Source organism: Homo sapiens, chromosome 10 (assembly GCF_000001405.40).
Source record: "Homo sapiens chromosome 10, GRCh38.p14 Primary Assembly".
Classification (NCBI taxonomy): Eukaryota; Metazoa; Chordata; class Mammalia; order Primates; family Hominidae; genus Homo; species Homo sapiens.
The window spans coordinates 126,762,892-126,780,162 of record NC_000010.11 but is presented as its reverse complement, the minus strand read 5'-3'; the positions used below and the strand labels follow the sequence as shown (position 1 = coordinate 126,780,162).

The window sequence follows — 17,271 nt, the reverse complement described above, 5'->3', positions numbered from 1 at the left end:
GGAAGGCTTCCTGGCAGGTGGATTAGAGCTGGGCCTCAAATGATTTTGACAAATAGAGATGGAAAGTGAGGAAGGGTACTTCGGGAAGAACCTGTGTGAGCAAAGGCCTAGAGGTAGGGAAGTCCAGGGCCTGCTTGGGTAGTGGCAGATACTCCATTTATGAGGAAATATGCAGTCCATGTGAAGGGGAGTAGGAAATAAAGCTGCAAAAATGGCTGGGACAAGACTTACAAGGGGCTCAGATGCCAAGAGAAGGAGACTGAACTCTACACAGAGCAATGTGAGAAGTGGCTGTGGGGGCTGACAGTAGCTTTTGAATTTGGGAATTGTATGTTATAATTTAGGAAGATGGACCAGGCAGTTGTGTTAGAAAAAATAGACACTTCAGAGGTTGTGATGAATTGCTTTAATTTCTGACACCTCATATGAAAGCTGCACTTGCAGTCTTGCAAGACAGGCTTGGGGGAGAAAAGAAAAAAGAAGAAAAAAGAGAGATACTTGGGGTGGGAGGCAAGGCAGTTGGAAGGTTAGTGTTTGGGAGAACTGCAATAATGGCTTGAGCATGATTCGCAGCAAAAAGAATGAAATAATTTCCAGGGCTGGCAAAGAATGCAAGGAGGACCGCAGGTAACTCCACGGTTGGGTGGCTGGAAGGATGTTGGCTCACCTGATAGAAATATAGAGTTCGAGGTAGAAGGCGGTGTGAGGGGCATAAGCATCTCAGTGGGCTGATGGTGAGCAGGGGTGTCTGCTGGCACACACAGGTTAGGACACACGGGAGACACTCCACACAGCTGGCAGTGAGCCAGGAGAGTTCACGCGCTGGAGTCCTCTTCAGAGAGTGCTAGCTGGGGACTAGGAGGTCTCAGAAGGTCAAAGAAAGTCGACATGGAGAGAGTGGGAAAGAGCTGGGCCAAGGGACAGCTCTCTACTTAGGAGGCCATGGGGGAAGATAGAGAAGAAGTCCAGTTGAGAAAGCTGGGAGAACGCCCAGAGAGGGGAGCACAGGGTGCTTCATGGGAAGGGGAAGCACCAGGAAAGGGGTGGCTGGTCAGCAGGGTCAAGGACGGTGAGGGCGAAAGACCACCTGATGAGGAGGTGAGGAGGTCAGTGGGGGCTTTGAGGAAGCAGTTCTGGTGCAAGGCTATCCAGAGACTGAGGAGGCAGAATGTTTAGACTGTGGAACACGCACCTAAGGGATGGGGAAAGGAAGGGGAGACTCCTTCAGCTTGCAAAGGTGGCACTGCAGAGGTTTGACTTTCTGTGCAGGGGGTGTCTAAGTGTGTCTGTGGCTTGAAGACAGGAAAGTAGTGAAAGAGAAAATACGCAAAAGAGGGAGAGCCACAACCGAGCAGAATGTAAAAGCAGGTGAGAAAAGATGCCAAGAGCCATGTCTTCCTAGATGGGGAGAGAAATGAAGACACCACACACCATTTCCATAGATGACCTCTCTGTTGTCCCAAACATCACCAGATGCCACAGATGTTACCTGTTGGAGATGCAGGTTAAATTAATGTATGCTAAAATTAGACTTTATGTTATACAGCTTTGTCCAATAAACACCTTCTTGGTGATACTATCAACCACAGACATGGGGGAGGGCCAGGCTCATCTCGGCGGAGGGCCACCATTCCATTTCATCTGGAGATTGGTGCAAAGTTCCTTAATCAATTCTATCTTATCTTTGCTGTGATGTCTCATGCCTCTATAACTACTGCTCTAGCATCTACATATTGATAGATTTTTTTGAGTACTGGAAGCTGCTTTTCTTTCATGGCATTTTCACATACATTTGACCCTCACTATGACTCTGTGAAGAACTTAGGGCTGTTAATGCTGTATCCACTTCCCAGATCAGCAGCCTGAAACCTGGGGATGTTGAACAATTAATCAAAGTCATACAAGCACTGTTATGGGACCGGATATGGGGTCTTTTGAACTCCTGATGTAATTCTCTTTCTGCAACATGAGATACGGGGTGAGAGTTCCCTGCCAGGCACTTTGACAGCACCTTTTTGAGACAGTAGTCAGAGTCAAGGCTTTCTAAGTGGAATTAGAATTTGAGGTCAGCCCTGCAGCGCCCAGGCTGAGTATGATCTCCTGCTGGTTACTCAAAGAGTGGGAATTTTCTGTTTTCTGAGGTGCGATACCCGTGATGGAGTTGGCGGGTTTTACGCCCGTATACCTCATTGCACTCGTACATAGGGTCAGGCAGAGGGGCCATCTGATGCAAGAAGCACCAACAAATGAGAGAAGACAAAGCAGAGGGAGGCCCAGGAGAACGAGACGAGTTGCTGCAAAGGTGTACTTAGCATCACAATGGGGCAGTGCCACGAGCCAAGCAAATCCAATTTATTTTTCTGATAAATAACTGCTGCTCTTGTCACTGTGCAATGATATCAGGCTCTCTTCATGCATCCCTTTCTTTCATCAAGAATCCATTATTCTTGCGTGCATCTTCAATTATCCCGTTACATAGTGAGGAAGCAAAGTTATTTCAGTTGATAAAAAATCTCCTTTTTACTCTCCTATTTGAATGGAGGGATAAGACCCTAGAACACTAATAATCTTTTCTTACATCACATAAAATAGAAAAATGATTTATGGATTTCCAAACACAACTAATGGATTGATGCCTGTGTGTAGAACCCATCCCTGTTCATTCATTCATTCAAAAAGCATCTGTGGAGTACCTACTGTGTGTGAGGAATGCGGATAAATCCTGAATACTTTGCGCATTTGACAAGGGGCCCATCTACCTTGTCTAAGAGAACAGACATGTTTTGGGCCATTTCAAATCCACCCCAATAGGAAGAATGTTTATATATATATATATATATATATGTTTTTTTTTTTTTTTTTTTTTTTTTTTTTTGAGGCACAGTCTTGCTCTGTCACCCAGGCTGGAGTGCAGTGGCAGGATCTCAGCTCACTGCAACCTCCACCTCCCAGGTTCATGCTATTCTCCTGCCTCAGCCTCCCAAGTAGCTGGGACTACAGGCACCCGCCACCACGCCCGGCTAATTTTTTGTATTTTTTTTAGTAGAGACAGGGTTTCACCATGTTAGCCAGGATGGTCTCGATCTCCTGACCTCGTGATCCACCTGCCTCGCCCTCCCAAAGTGCTGGGATTACAGGCGTGAGCCACTGCGCCTGACCGAGTGTTATTATATTAATAATATGGTTGTGAAGGTCTCTCTATTGATGACAAGTCTGTCAAAGAGCTTACACTCTTTGAATCTATGAAAAATTCAAAACAGTTACACAGTTATAAGAAAGGTACAAGTGCAACACACAGAACATTGGTCTCTTAAACCATTTGGGAGTCAGTTGCTGAGCTGATGCCTCATCTTCCCTGAAGACTTTACTAAATTCCTTATAGAAAAGGCATCATTTGACCTAAACTCTGGAAAAATGAAGAGAATTTCAGATATGCAGGAATGAGCAAAAGGCCATCCCAGATAGAAGGATTAAGCTGAACAAAGGTAGAAAAGTGGAACATTATGGAGACACACAGAAGATAGTGTAGGGAGAAAACATAATTTTTTTCCTTTCCCTTTATAGGTTCTTAGCTGAGATGCTTTCCTGAAAGCAAAAGTCAGATAAACAAAAGAAAAAGTTTTGTTAATGCATGTTCTACCCATCATGGGGGAGAGGCCTCACTTCAAAAGTATTTCTTTCTCAAGGCAGTGGCTTAGGGGCCTTGCTTAAGTAGTATTTTAACAAAGAACCATAAATCTTCTATAGTGACAAGACAAGAGAGTATTTTCAGGCTTCTATAAGGCAAGACAATGTGGGAAAGAAAATTTATGGGGAGAGTGAAGTCAGCTCCTAGATCCTCTGACACTGCTATCTCAGAGCTCTGTTTCTGAGCTGATAAAGGCAGAGAGAGGGGCAGAGTGTGCGGCTGTGTCTCAACCTTTTAACTTTAGCTAAAATCCCCAGTGTCTTACAGAGGGATATTTCAGTGTTCTTTAATAGTAAAATTAACAGAAAACAAGAGCAAATTGTGTGCCACTTAATACTTTTGGTTGTAAATAACAAACCCCAACACCCACCAGCTGAAGATAGAAGGAATCTATTGTTTCACATGAGTGAGAGCCAGGCATAGCTTTAGGTATCCATCTGGACATTCATCAAAAAATGTCCAGACCCTGTGTTTCTACTTCTTATTGTTTGACTTCAGTTATGGGCTTCATCCCAGACAGTCTTTTCTCTCATGTCACAGAGGGGCTGCAACAGCTCCAGACCTTGCATTCTCTCTGTCTCTCTCTCTGTCTTTTTTTTTCCTGAGATGGAGTCCTGCTCCATTGCCCAGGGTGGCGTGCATGGTGTCATCTCCGCTCACTGAAACTTCTGCCTCCCGGGTTCAAGCGATTCTCCTGCCTCAGCCTCCTGAGTAGCTGGGATCACAGGCGTACACCACCACACCTGGCTAATTCTTGTATTTTTAGTACAGACGGGGTTTCACCGTGTTGGCCAGGCTGATCTTGAACTCCTGACCTCAAGTGGTCCGCCCGCCTCGGCCTCCCAAAGTGCTGGGATTAGAGGCGTGAGCCACTGCACCTGGCCCTTTTTTTTTTAAATGGTTGTGAGTTTGAGGGTGAAACATTTTATTTTAATTTTTTTAATGTTAATTCAATAGCTTTTGGGGTACAAGTGGTTTTTGTTACATGGATGAATTATAGAGCGGTGAATTTTGAGATTTTAGTGCGCTTGTCATCTGAGTAGTGTACATTGTACCTAATGTGTAGTTTTAAAATTCTTAGTCCCCCTCCTACTCTCCCCCTTCTGAGCATCTAAGTCCACTCTGTATGCCTTTGCTTACTCACAGTTTAGCTCCCACTTATGAGTGACAACATATGGTTTTTGGTTTGCCACTCCTGTGTTATTTCACTTAGAATAATGGCCTCCAGCTCCAATCCAGGTTGTTGAGAAAGACATCATTTCGTTGCTTGTAATGGCTGAGTAGTATTCCATGGTGTATATGCACCACATTTTATTTATCCATTCAGTCAATGGGCACTTAGTCAGTGGTACCACATCTTTGCAATTGTTAATTGTGCTACTATAAACATACGTGTGCAAGTCAGACCCTGAATTCTCTCAGCAGAAAATAGTATATCTTTCCTTGGATAGCTAAAAGACATCTTGTTACATCTTGTTGCTTCTGATTGGTCATGTGTTCATCCTTCAATCAATTACTGTGCCCAAAACAATGTGATCTTCACGGATTGGCTGAGATTTACCTCATGTGCTTCCCTTGGAGCTGGGATGAGGCCATGTCTCTTCCAATAACAAGGAATGAGAGTTTGGTGGAGGTGGTTTTCCAGCAACAAATAAGGGCGTGATTACAAAAAAAGTAGAATAGACTACAGGAGATAATGGAAAAGAAGTCTGAATGTCCACAGCAGGCAGAGGGTCCGGGGGTCAGATTGGAAAGGTAGCGAATACCAATACTGGTCGCTCAGGACGCTCAATGTCTTGGGATCAGCCTTTATGTCTGTTCAGAGTAATAATAATAACAATGATTTACTCTGTGCTAGACATTGTTCCATATACTTTATTCCCATTAACTAATTTTCATATGTGACTAGTACAGTGCTGGGCATAATTGACCTCTCAATAAACATCCACTGACTTGGAGCCACTGTTTAAAGATGCCCAAAGACACAGAGCCCTGAGAGAGCATGACCATCAGAGGTGTGGGAAAACAGTCACTCCTGGAGTATATTATGCTCCTACTGTTTAAAATTTTTGCAGCTTAGTAAGAGGTAGCCCTTGGCCATAATTGCCTCTTGGTACAATTTAGGATGCAGAGGATTTAGAGGAGTTCCCCAGGAAAGGACTGTTCAATAAAATAGTAGCTTACTGAAGTATAGAAATTAGAAGTATTAACCCTGATGGCCCCACAGAGGTGGGTTTATTACAAAGCCTCAGCATCAGGGACCAGCACTTGTACTGTCCCCTTCCAAGACCTTGGAAGGGGCCCCTACAATGTGTCTACATGGCCATGTTTTATAAAATTTGCAAGAAAAGTTTCCTGAAATAAATCACTTGAAACTGAAAGTTGAAAGGGCAAACAATGTGTCTACATTGACACAGAATGGCTATATTCGAGAAAAAAACTTAAGGACTTTTAATAAAAATATGTAAAATGACAGGAAAAAGAAAATAATCTTTGGACATTCATATGAAAAAGTCAAGTCATTTTAAGGGAGAGACACTCAAATTGTAATCAGACTTTTCAACAGCAACAATTCATACCAGAAGGCAACAGAATTACATATTTAAGATACCCAAGGAAAGAAAATGTGAACCAATAATTTTATATCCAGCCAAGCTCTCTTTCAAGGATAAATACGGCCGCAGACAAATTCTCATGAATATGCAAGAACTTAGGGCAATTGTTACCTTGAGCCTTGCTCTAATGGAGAAAGAGTTGTGGGCAACTAAAATGACTGAGGGACATTGGCAAAAGGACTGCTGGCGAGCTTAAATATATAACTCATGGTTATAAGGAGAGAGGTAGCCCAGGTCTCTCACCATATTGATGCTGTACAGCTATCAAAAATGGGAAGCATTTATGAAGAAAAGGATAAGCTCATTGTTGGACTTATTGGTATTAACTGGGAGCAAAATGATATTTCATATTAGAAGCTAGGGAGAAGAATGAGAGTGTAAAGAAGAGACTACTAGCTAATTTTAATATTTTTAAAATAGTAGGCAATCAATAAATAAAAGTCACAAGAGGAGAGACCAAAGTATCATAAAATGGTACTAGCATAAAAGTAACTACTTGTACAAAAATACAAACCTTCCTGAATCCCAAAAGATTAAAAATAAAGAGTAGAAAGATAAAAAAAATAAAAAAGACTATATACTGAGGGCTGGGTGTGGGGGCTCACGCCTACAATCCCAGCAGTTTGGGATGCTGAGGCAGGAGGATCATTTGAGATCAGAAGTTCAAGACCAGACTGGGTAACATGGCAAGACCGTGTCTCTAAAAAAAAGACTATATACTGGAAGACTGTTATGTATATTTAAAAATACATGTAAATGTGTGTGTACATACATACATATATATATACACACACATATATATGTATATACACACATGCATATACATATACACTTTTTTTTTTTTGACATGGAGTCTTGCTCTGTTGCCCAGGTTGGAGTGCAATGGCATGATCTCAGCTCACTGCAAACTCTGCCTCCTGGGTTCAAGCAATTCTCCTGCCTCAGCCTTCCAAGTAGCTGGGATTACAAGCATGTGCCCCCATGCCCAGCTAATTTTTCTATTTTTAATAGAGACGAGGTCTCACCATGTTGGCCAGGCTGGTCTCTAACTCCTGACCTCAAGTGATCCACCCACCTCGGCGTCCCAAAGTGCTGGAATCACAGCATGAGCCACCTCGCCTGGCCCATATATACGTATTTATAGATGGTCCCCAATTTGTAATGGTTCAACTTAAAATTTTTTGACTTTTCTGTGGGTATTCTTTGGTATTAAATGCATTTTCAATTTAACAATATTTTTGACTTATTATAGGTTTATCTGGACATAACTCCATCATAAGTCAAGGAGTATCTGTATATATACTCATAAGCATATAATATAACAGAACTGAGACAAAATATACTGATAATAATAGCAAATGTACCAGGTGTGGTGGCTCATGCCTGTAATCCCAGCACTTTGATAGTCTGAGGCAGGAGGATTACTTGAGGCCGAGAGACCAGCCTGGGCCACATAGTGAGACCCCATCAAGAAAGAAGAAAAATAAAGAAAATGATTGAGAGAGTGAACGAGAGAGAGAGAGAGAGAAAGGGGAAGAACAAGGAGAAGGAGGAGGAGGAGAAGGAGAAGGAGAAAGTCTTACCCTATTAAAAGAAAAAGATTTAGAGTTTTGGCTACCAAACAAAAATTCAGCACAATGCTCTACATAGAAGACACTCCTAAAATGAAGAGATTCAGAGACATTAACAATTAAAGAACAGACAAACTTATACTATGTAAAATAATACATAAATAAAATAAAAAGGATAAAAGTTCAAGGAAGAAAGATTGGTATCTGGTGAGGTAGAATTCAGATCAGAAAGCATTTTAAGAGATAAACATAGTTTATAATCTTCACAATGAAGATACTACAGTTATTAATATTTAGGCATCCAGTAATAAACCTCTGCTTTACTGATAAAGCAGAATCAATGAGAAAGTCAAGAAGAAGTTGTTAAATACATTAATATTAGAATCCACCTCTCTCAATTGCAGGAATATCACATGGACAAAAAAGTTAATGAGAATATGATAGATCTAATTAGCGTGTGTAAGGTAAATCATATATATATATATATATATATATATATATATATATATATATATATATGACACTTTATTTTAAAATACATAAGACATTTAAAAAGTGGATCAAATCATCCCATAAAAAAAGATTTAAATGAATTTAAAGAAACAAATAATACAACTAGCATTCTCTGACCACAATAAACCAGAGAAATCAGCACTAGTTATTGTTTTAATTTGAGTTTGACAAGTACCTTCTAAAAATTATTTAGAACAACAAATGCAGAAGATTTACTAGGAGAACCTGGAAGAAGATGAGCAGCAGGGGTGGGGAGCACAGGCTAAATGTACAATAAAGCCTCTAAAAGTAAAACATTACAACATATCATAAAGCCTCTACAAATAAAATGGTGTGGAATTGGTACATGTCTAGGTAGACTGACCAATGGAACAGAGTAGAAAAACCTGGAAACAGACCTAATTGCATATGGAAATTTAGTACTTGTTGAAGACTGGATTTCAAACCAGAATGGAAACAGCAAGGACACCCCTATCCTTTGGTCAGAGGAAGTTGCAGTCATGGGTGCTCCGGGTTGGAGAGTGTCTTAGTCCATTTTTTGCTGCTATCACAAAATAACTACAGACCTGGTAATTTATAAATACAGATATTTATTTCTTACAATTCTGGAGGTTGAGAAGTCCAAGATCCAGGGCTGGCATCTGGTAAGGGCCTTTGTGCTGTGTCAGTCCATAGCAGAAGGCGAGAGGGCAAGAGAATGTGTGAGGGAGCCAGAAGCTAGAGGGGGCTGAACTCACTTTTACACCCAACCCTTTCTTGTGATAATTAACCTACTCTAGTGATAATGACTTTAATCCTGTTTGTGAGGGCTGAGCCCTCATGACCTAATCACTTCTTGTTAGGCCTCATCTCCCAACACTGTTGCACTGGGGATTAAGTTTCCAACACATGTACTTTGGGCGACACATTTGAACCATAGCAGATGGTGACTCCCCAAAGGTGCATGCTCTTCTCAGAACCTCAGAATGCAAACTTATTTGGAAGTAAGATTCTTGCAGATGTAATTAGTTCAGATGGAGTCATACTGGAGTGGGGTGGGCCCTTAATCCACTATGACTGATATCCTTATAAGAGCAGAAGACACAGAGACATGTAGGGAGAAAGCTGTGGGATGACAGAAGCAGAAACTGGAGTGACGCATCTACAAGCCGAGAATACCAAGGACTGCTGGCAACACCAGAAGCTAAGAGAGAGGCATGAAACAGATTCTCCCCAGGAAACTTTAGAGAGACCATGGCCCTGCCAACAACTTGATTTCAGACTTCAAGCATCCAGAGCTGTGTAAATTTCTGTTATTTTAAGCCATCCAGTACTTGGTTATGGCAGCCCTAGGAAGCAGATACACTGGCATAGAGACTGAGAGGTGTTGGACAAGAGCTAGGATGAAGTGGCCCATGATGACCCTGTGAAAAGGATGGGGTGGGGAGAAAAGGACGGGTTTAAGAAATATCTAGGAGACAGAACTCATGGGACTTAGACTGGGGAAGAGGAAGGAGCCAGGTCTGTAAGTGGGTGACTTGTACATGCTGTCTCTTGAGACTGGAATAGCTATACAGGGTCAATTAGATGTGGGGAGAGGGAAGATGGTTTTTATTGGGGAAATGATGGGTTTGCTTTTGGAACATGGCGAATATATGGGACCAGGGCTTAGGAAAATTCAGACCAGAGATTTTGATTTAGCAATTAGCAACATATGCTACAAATCATTGCATCTAAAACATTTTTGACATCAGTTATTTGGGACACAAACTCTGTGACTCCCAACTGCCCTGTTCCAACTTCTCGGCTGAAGAAACATTTCTAACATCCAGAAAATTTCACTGTTCAAAGACATTCCAAGGGGATTATTTATATAACAACAAAATAATAGAAGTGGCATACTTATCATTATATAATTATCTATAATAACATCTCACAAATCTTAGCAATAGGAGTTTGAAGGGTTCATATTTGTACCATTACACATTGTCCTAAATCTGAGCACTGAAAAATTATGGGCCAAAAATGCTATGGATGCTAATAGGCATCTCATTATATAACAAACCAAATAGCTCACAAGAAATTAAAGTGATAATGATGAAGTCAAACTAATAAAGATTTCTAATTAAAACGGAATAATAGCAGCAAGCCCAAACGACAACAACTCAAGACAACACTGACAATGCATTAATGACAAAGCATTGTCCCTGAAAATTCCAAGTGCTTATTTGCACAGGAAATAGCAGAGAAGCAATACTGTCAAGAAAAATACTGAAGCAGAGCCCTCAGTAAAAGCTGATACGGGGCTGAATTTCATTTAAGAAATCCAAATTTAGAAACACCTTTCATGGGTAACCACTTAAAAAATATAAAAGACTTTGGAGTTGCATGCCATTTGTCTGTTAGAAAAGAAAGTGATTTGTCCAAAAAGATTTGCATATTAGTATTCTCAGCCTATCTCATTCTCCTTCAAAGGGGGAGTCTCTGATACTTTTGTGTTGAGGTTTCTGTTGCATTGATCTGTTTCATTGATCTGTATTGATCTATGTAATGAGTGAAGAAGAGAAGGGAAGAAAACGAGACTGAATTATGTAGGAAAATGGGAGAGATACAGAGAAAAGATAGAGCCCTAAAGCCAAGAGGAGCTGGTGGGTTTTTTTTATGAGGGAGGAAGGAGAAGAAACGTGCAGGAAAAACCTGATAAAAAAGGCAAGAGGCTTTGGAGGGTGTGGCTGCCTTGAGGAGTGGAATTTGAGAGTTTGCTCATCTTATGGAGTGCCAGGCAATGCCATTCTCTTTTTGGCAGAGGCTGGGGAGACTTCATTAACAACTGAAATGGATTTTCAGGTTTTGGGTATTGGTATTGTTTTGTTTTTATTTAATTATTTATTTATTTACTTCTTTATTTATTTAGTGAATTAGTTGAGACACAATCTGACTTTGTCTCCCAGGCGGGAGTGCAGTGGTGCAATCTTGGCTCACTGCAACCTCTGTCTCCCGAGTTCAAGCGATTCTCCTTGCCTCAGCCTCCCAAGTAGCTGGGATTACTGGTGTGCACCACCACGTCTGGCTAATTTTTGTATTTTTAGTAAAGACGGGGTTTCACCATTTTGGTCAGGCTGGTCTCAAACTCCTGACCTCAAATGATCCGCCCACTTTGGCCTCCCAGAATGCTGGGATTACAGGTGTGAACCACCACACCTGGCCTGGTCTTCCATTTCTATTGCCTTTTCACTGGGGTAACAGAAAGAGATTTGACAGCCTGACAGTACAATGTTGAGAAATCTTTCTAAAGATAGAAGTTGGAAGTTAGTAGGGTGATGAGATAGCTTAGGGTGAGGACATGGCATGGAAATCCTCCTTTCATTGGCCCTCAAGGACTGCTGTCTATGGCTTTTCAGAGACTTTTTACCTGTGAAGACCAAGGTTCTCTCCATGGTGTGGATAAAGTAGTTTGCTACATGGCTTCTAGTGTTCTGTGCGGATTTAGATAAGCAAAGCCCATTTGGTATGAAAGCCTCAAGGCTGAGAATTTGTCTCCAGGGCCTCCAGTTCTGCAAGCACCTAGCTTCTCTCTGCTATCCTTTCTCGGTTGGGAGGTGAGAACTGGAACCTTCTTCTTGCAGCCAATGGAAAGCTCAGTGTGTATATGGAATGATGATGGTATTGACTAAGAAGGATATGGCATGGGCAGCAGTTCTAAAATACTCATAAAAGTTATTGAGAACCCAGAAAACCTTTGTTAAGGTGGTTACATCTATTGAGATGTACCACATTAAAACTTATAACTGAGATGTTAAAAAGTTTATTAATTAATTTAAAAATAACAATAACAAAGCCATTGCTGTTCACAAAAATGACGTCCTCATCAAAGATAATTGTATTTTCCAAGAAAAAGAAAGCAAGAAGAGTGGCATTGTTTTACATTTTTGCAAATCTCTCTCTCTCTCTATTTTTATTTAGAGATGGCGAGATGGGGTCTCGCTTTGTAGCCCAGGCTGGTCTTGAACTCCTGGGCTCAAGTGATCCTCCCACCTTAGCCTCCCAAAGTTCTGAGATTACAGTCATGAGCCACTATGCCCAGCTTGCAAATCTCTTTAATGTCTGGCTTAATAGAAGACAGCTACATTTTCATAGCTTCTTCTTCAGGTAATATGTTGTGATATATTTGGTTGAACTATATGAGGAAAATCTGGTTTCACAGAGGTGTGTACTTGGAAAAAGGACTACTATTCTAATAGTCTCTTCAGATAAGTATGAATATTCTCCTTTTATACTATATTAAAACTGGACAGTAGATTCCTGGGCAAGATGGCCGAATAGGAACAGCTCCAGTCTGCAGCTCCCAGTGAGACCAATATACAAGGCAGGTGATTTCTGCACTGAGGACCTGGTTCATCTCACTGGGACTGATTAGACAGTGGGTGCAGCCCATGGAGGGCAAGCAGAACCAGGGTGGGGTGTCGCCTTACCTGAGAAGTGCAAGGGGTTGGGGAACTCCCTCCTCTAGCCAAGGGAAGCCATGAGGTACTGTGCTGTGAGGGATGGTGCTATCCAGCCCAGATAGTATGCTTTTCCCATGGTCTTCACAACCCAAAGACCAGGAGATTCCCTCGGGTGCCTACACCACCAGGACCCTGGGTTTCAAGCACAAAACTGGGTGGCCATTTGGGCAGACACAGAGCTAGCTGCAGGAGTTTTTTGTACCCCAGTGGCACCTGGGATGCCAGTGAGACAGAACCATTCACTCCCCTGAAAAGGGGGCTGAAGCCAGGGAGCTGAGTGGTCTTGTTCAGTGGATCCCACCCCTATGATGCGCAGCAAGCTAAGATCCACTGTCTTGAAATTCTCGCTGCCAGCACAGCAGTCTGAAGTCAACCTGGGATGCTCGAGCCTGGTGGGGGGAGGGGCGTCCACCATTACTGAGGCTTGAGTAGGCGGTTTTCCCCTCACAGTGTAAACAAAGCTGCCAGGAAATTCGGACTGGGTGGAGCCCACTGCAGCTCAGCAAAGCTGCTGTAGCCAGACTACCTCTCTACATTCCTCCTCTCTGGGCAGGGCATCTCTGAAAGAAAGGAAGCAGCCCCAGTCAGGGGCTTATAGATAAAACTCCCATCTCCCTGGGACAGAGGACCTGGGGGAAGGGGTGGCTGTGGGCGCAGCTTCAGCAGACTTAAATGTTCCTGCCTGACGGCTCTGAAAAGAGTAGTGGGTCTCCCAGCACAATGCTCAAGCTCTGCTAAGGGACAGGCTGCCTTCTCAAGTGGGTCCCTGATGCCCATGCCTCCTGATGGAGAGACACCTCCCAGCAGGGGTTGACAGACACCTCATATAGGAGAGCTCCAGCTGGCATCTGGCAGGTGCCCCTCTGGGATGAAACTCCCAGAGGAAGGAGCAGGCAGCAATCTTTGCTGTTCTGCAGCCTCCGCTGGTGATACCCAGGCAATCAGGGTCTGGAGTGGTCCTCCAGCAAACTCCAGCAGAGCTGCAGAAGAGGTGCCTGACTGTTAAAGGGAAAACTAACAAACAGAAAGCAATAGCATCAACATCAACACAAAGGACGACCACACAAAAACCCCATTCAAAGGTCACCAACATCAAAGATCAAAGGTAGATAAATCCACGAAGATGAGGAAAAACTAGTGCAAAAAGGCTGAGAATTTCAAAAACCAGAAGGCCTCTTCTCCTCCAAAGGATCACAACTCCTCGTCAGTAAGGGAACAAAACTGGATGGAGAATGAGTTTGATGAATTGACAGAAGTAGGCTTCAGAAGGTGAGTAATAACAAACTCCTCTGAGCTAAAGAAGCATGTTCTAACCCAATGCAAGGAAGCTAAGAACCTTGATAAGGGGTTACTGGAACTGCTAACTAGAATAACCAGTTTAGAGAAGAACATAAATGACCTCATGGAGCTGAAAAACACAGCACGAGAACTTCATGAAGCATAGGCAAGTATCAATAGCTGAATCGATTAAGTGGAAGAAAGGATATCAGAGACTGAATATCAACTTAATGAAATAAAGTATGAAGACAAGATTAGAAGAAAAGAAATGAACAGAGTCTCCAAGAAATATGAGACTGTGGGAAAAGGCCAAACCTACATTTGATTGGTGTACCTGAAAGTGACAGGGAGAGTGGAACCAAGTTGGAAAACACATTTCAGGATATTATCCAGGAGAACTTCCCCAACCTCACAAGACAGGCCAACGTTCAAATTCAGGAAATACAGAGAACACCACAAAGATACTCCTCGAGAAGAACAACCCTGAAACACATAATTGTCAGATTCACCAAGGATGAAATGCAGGAAAATATGTTAAAGGCAGCCAGAGAGAAAGGTTGGGTTACCCACAAAGGGAAGATCCCAAAGAATAACAGCAGATCTCTCTACAGAAACCATACAAGCCAGAAGAGAGTGGGGACCAATATTCAACATTCTTAAAGAAAAGAATTTTCAACTCGTAATTTCATATCCAGCCAAACTAAGCTTCATAAGTGAAGGAGAAATAAAATCCTTTACAGACAAGCAAATGCTGAGGGATGCTGTCACCACCAGGCCTGCCTTACAAGAGCTCCTGAAGGAAGCACTAAATATGGAAAGGAAAAACCAGTACCAGCCACTGCAAAAACATACCAAAATGTAAAGACCACCAACACTATGAGGAAACTGCATTAACTAATGGGCAAAATAACCAGCTAGCATCATAATGACAGGATCAAATTCACATATAACAATATTAACCTAAAATGTAAATAAGCTAAATGCTCCAATTAAAAGACACAGACTGGCAAATTGGATAAAGAGTCAAGACCCGTTGGTGTGCTGTATTCAGGAGAATACGTGCATCTCACGTGCAAAGACACACATAGCCTCAAAACAAAGAGATGGAGGAAGATTTACCAAGTAAATGGAAAGCCAAAAAAAAAAAAAAAAAAAAAAAGCAGGGGTTGCAATCCTAGTCTTTGATAAAGCAGACTTTAAACCAACAAAGATAGAAAAAAAAAAAGACAAAGAAGGGCATTACATAATGGTAAAGGAATAATGCAACAAGAAGAGCTAACTCTCCTAAATATTCATGCACCCAATACAGGAGCACCCAGATCCATAAAGCAAATTCTTAGAGACCTAAAAAGAGACTTAGACTCTCACACAATAATAATGGGAGACTTTAACACCCCAGTGTCAATATTAGACAGATCAATGAGAGAGAAAATTAACAAGGATATTCAGGACTTTAACTCAGCTCTGCACCAAGCAGACCTATTAGACATCTACAGAACTCTCGACCCCCTATCAACAGAATATACATTCTTCTCAGCACCACATAGCACTTATTCTAAAATTGACCACATAATTGGAAGTTAAACACTCCTCAGCAAATGCAAAAGAATGGAAATTATAACAAATAGTCTCTCAGACCACAGTGCAATCAAATTAGAACTCAGGGTTAAGAAACTCTCTCAAAACCACACAACTACATGGAAACTGAACAACCTGCTCCTGAATGACTAGTGGGTAAATAACAAAATTAAGACAGAAATAAATAAGTTCTTTGAAACCAATGAAAACAAAGACACAATGTACCAGAATCTCTGGGACACAGCTAAAGCAGTGTTTAGAGGGATATTGATAGCACTAAATCCCACATGAGAAAGCCGGAAAGATCTAAAATCAACACGCTAACATCACAGTGAAAAGAACTAGAGGAGCAAGAGCAAACAAATTCAAAAGCTGGTAGAAGACAATGAATAACTAAGATCAGAGCAGAACTGAAGGAGAAAGAGACATGAAAAATCCTCCAAAAAATCAATGAATCCAGGAGCAGGTTTTTTGAAAAGATTAACCTAATAGACCACTAGCCAGACTAATAAAGAAGAAAAGAGAGAAGAATCAAATAGACATAATAAAAAATGATAAAGGGGATATCAACACTGATCCCACAGAAATACAAACTACCATCAGAGAATACTATAAACACCTCTATGCAAATAAGCTAGAAAACCTAGAAGAAATGGATACATTCCTGGACACATACACCCTCCCAAGACTAAACCAGGAAGAAGTCAAATCCCTGAAGGGACCAATAACAAGTACTGAAATTGAGGCAGTAATTAACAGCCTACCAACCAAGAAAAGCCCAGGACCAGACAGATTCACAGCTGAATTCTACTAGAGGTACAAAGAGGAGCTGGTACCATTCCTTCTAAAACTATTCCAAACAATAGAAAAAGAGAGACTCCTCCCTAACTCATTTTATGAGACCAGCATCATCCTGACACAAAAACCTGGCAGAGACACAACAAAAAAAGAAAATTTCAGGCCAATATCCCAGATGAACATCGATGCGAAAATCCTCAATAAAATACTGGCAAACCGAATCCAGCAGCACATTAAAAAGCTTATCCACCACGATCAAGTCAGCTTCATCCCTGGGATGCAAGGCTTGTCAACATATGCAAATCAATAAACATAATCCATCACATAAACAGAACCAATGACAAAAACCACAGGATTATCTCAATAGATGCAGAAAAGGCCTTCAATAAAATTCAACACTCCTTCATGCTAAAAGCACTCAATAAACTAGGTATTGGAACGTATCTCAAAATAATATGACTTATTTATGACAAACCAACAGCCAATATCATACCGAATGGGCAAATGCTGGAAGCATTCTCTTTGAGAAACTACACAAGACAAGGATGCCCTTTCTCACCACTCCTATTCAATATAGCATTGGAAGTTCTGGCCAGGGCAATCAGGCAACAGAAAGAAATAAAGGATATTCAAATAGGAAGAGAGGAAGTCAAGTTATATCTGTTTGCAGATGATATTATTGTATATTTAGAAAAGCTCATTGTCTTAGCCCAAAAACTCTTTAAGCTGATAAGCAACTTCAGCAA

General features: G+C 41.6%; 1 non-coding gene across 1 annotated transcript; it reads left to right on the top strand.

Annotated features, from left to right (window-relative positions):
• Positions 1 to 388: 388 nt before the first annotated feature.
• LOC124900294 (small nucleolar RNA SNORD60) lies at positions 389 to 461 on the top strand. Its single transcript, XR_007062400.1, has one exon. It is a non-coding gene; the product is annotated as a small nucleolar RNA SNORD60 (small nucleolar RNA).
• The last annotated feature ends 16,810 nt before the right edge of the window (positions 462 to 17,271 follow it).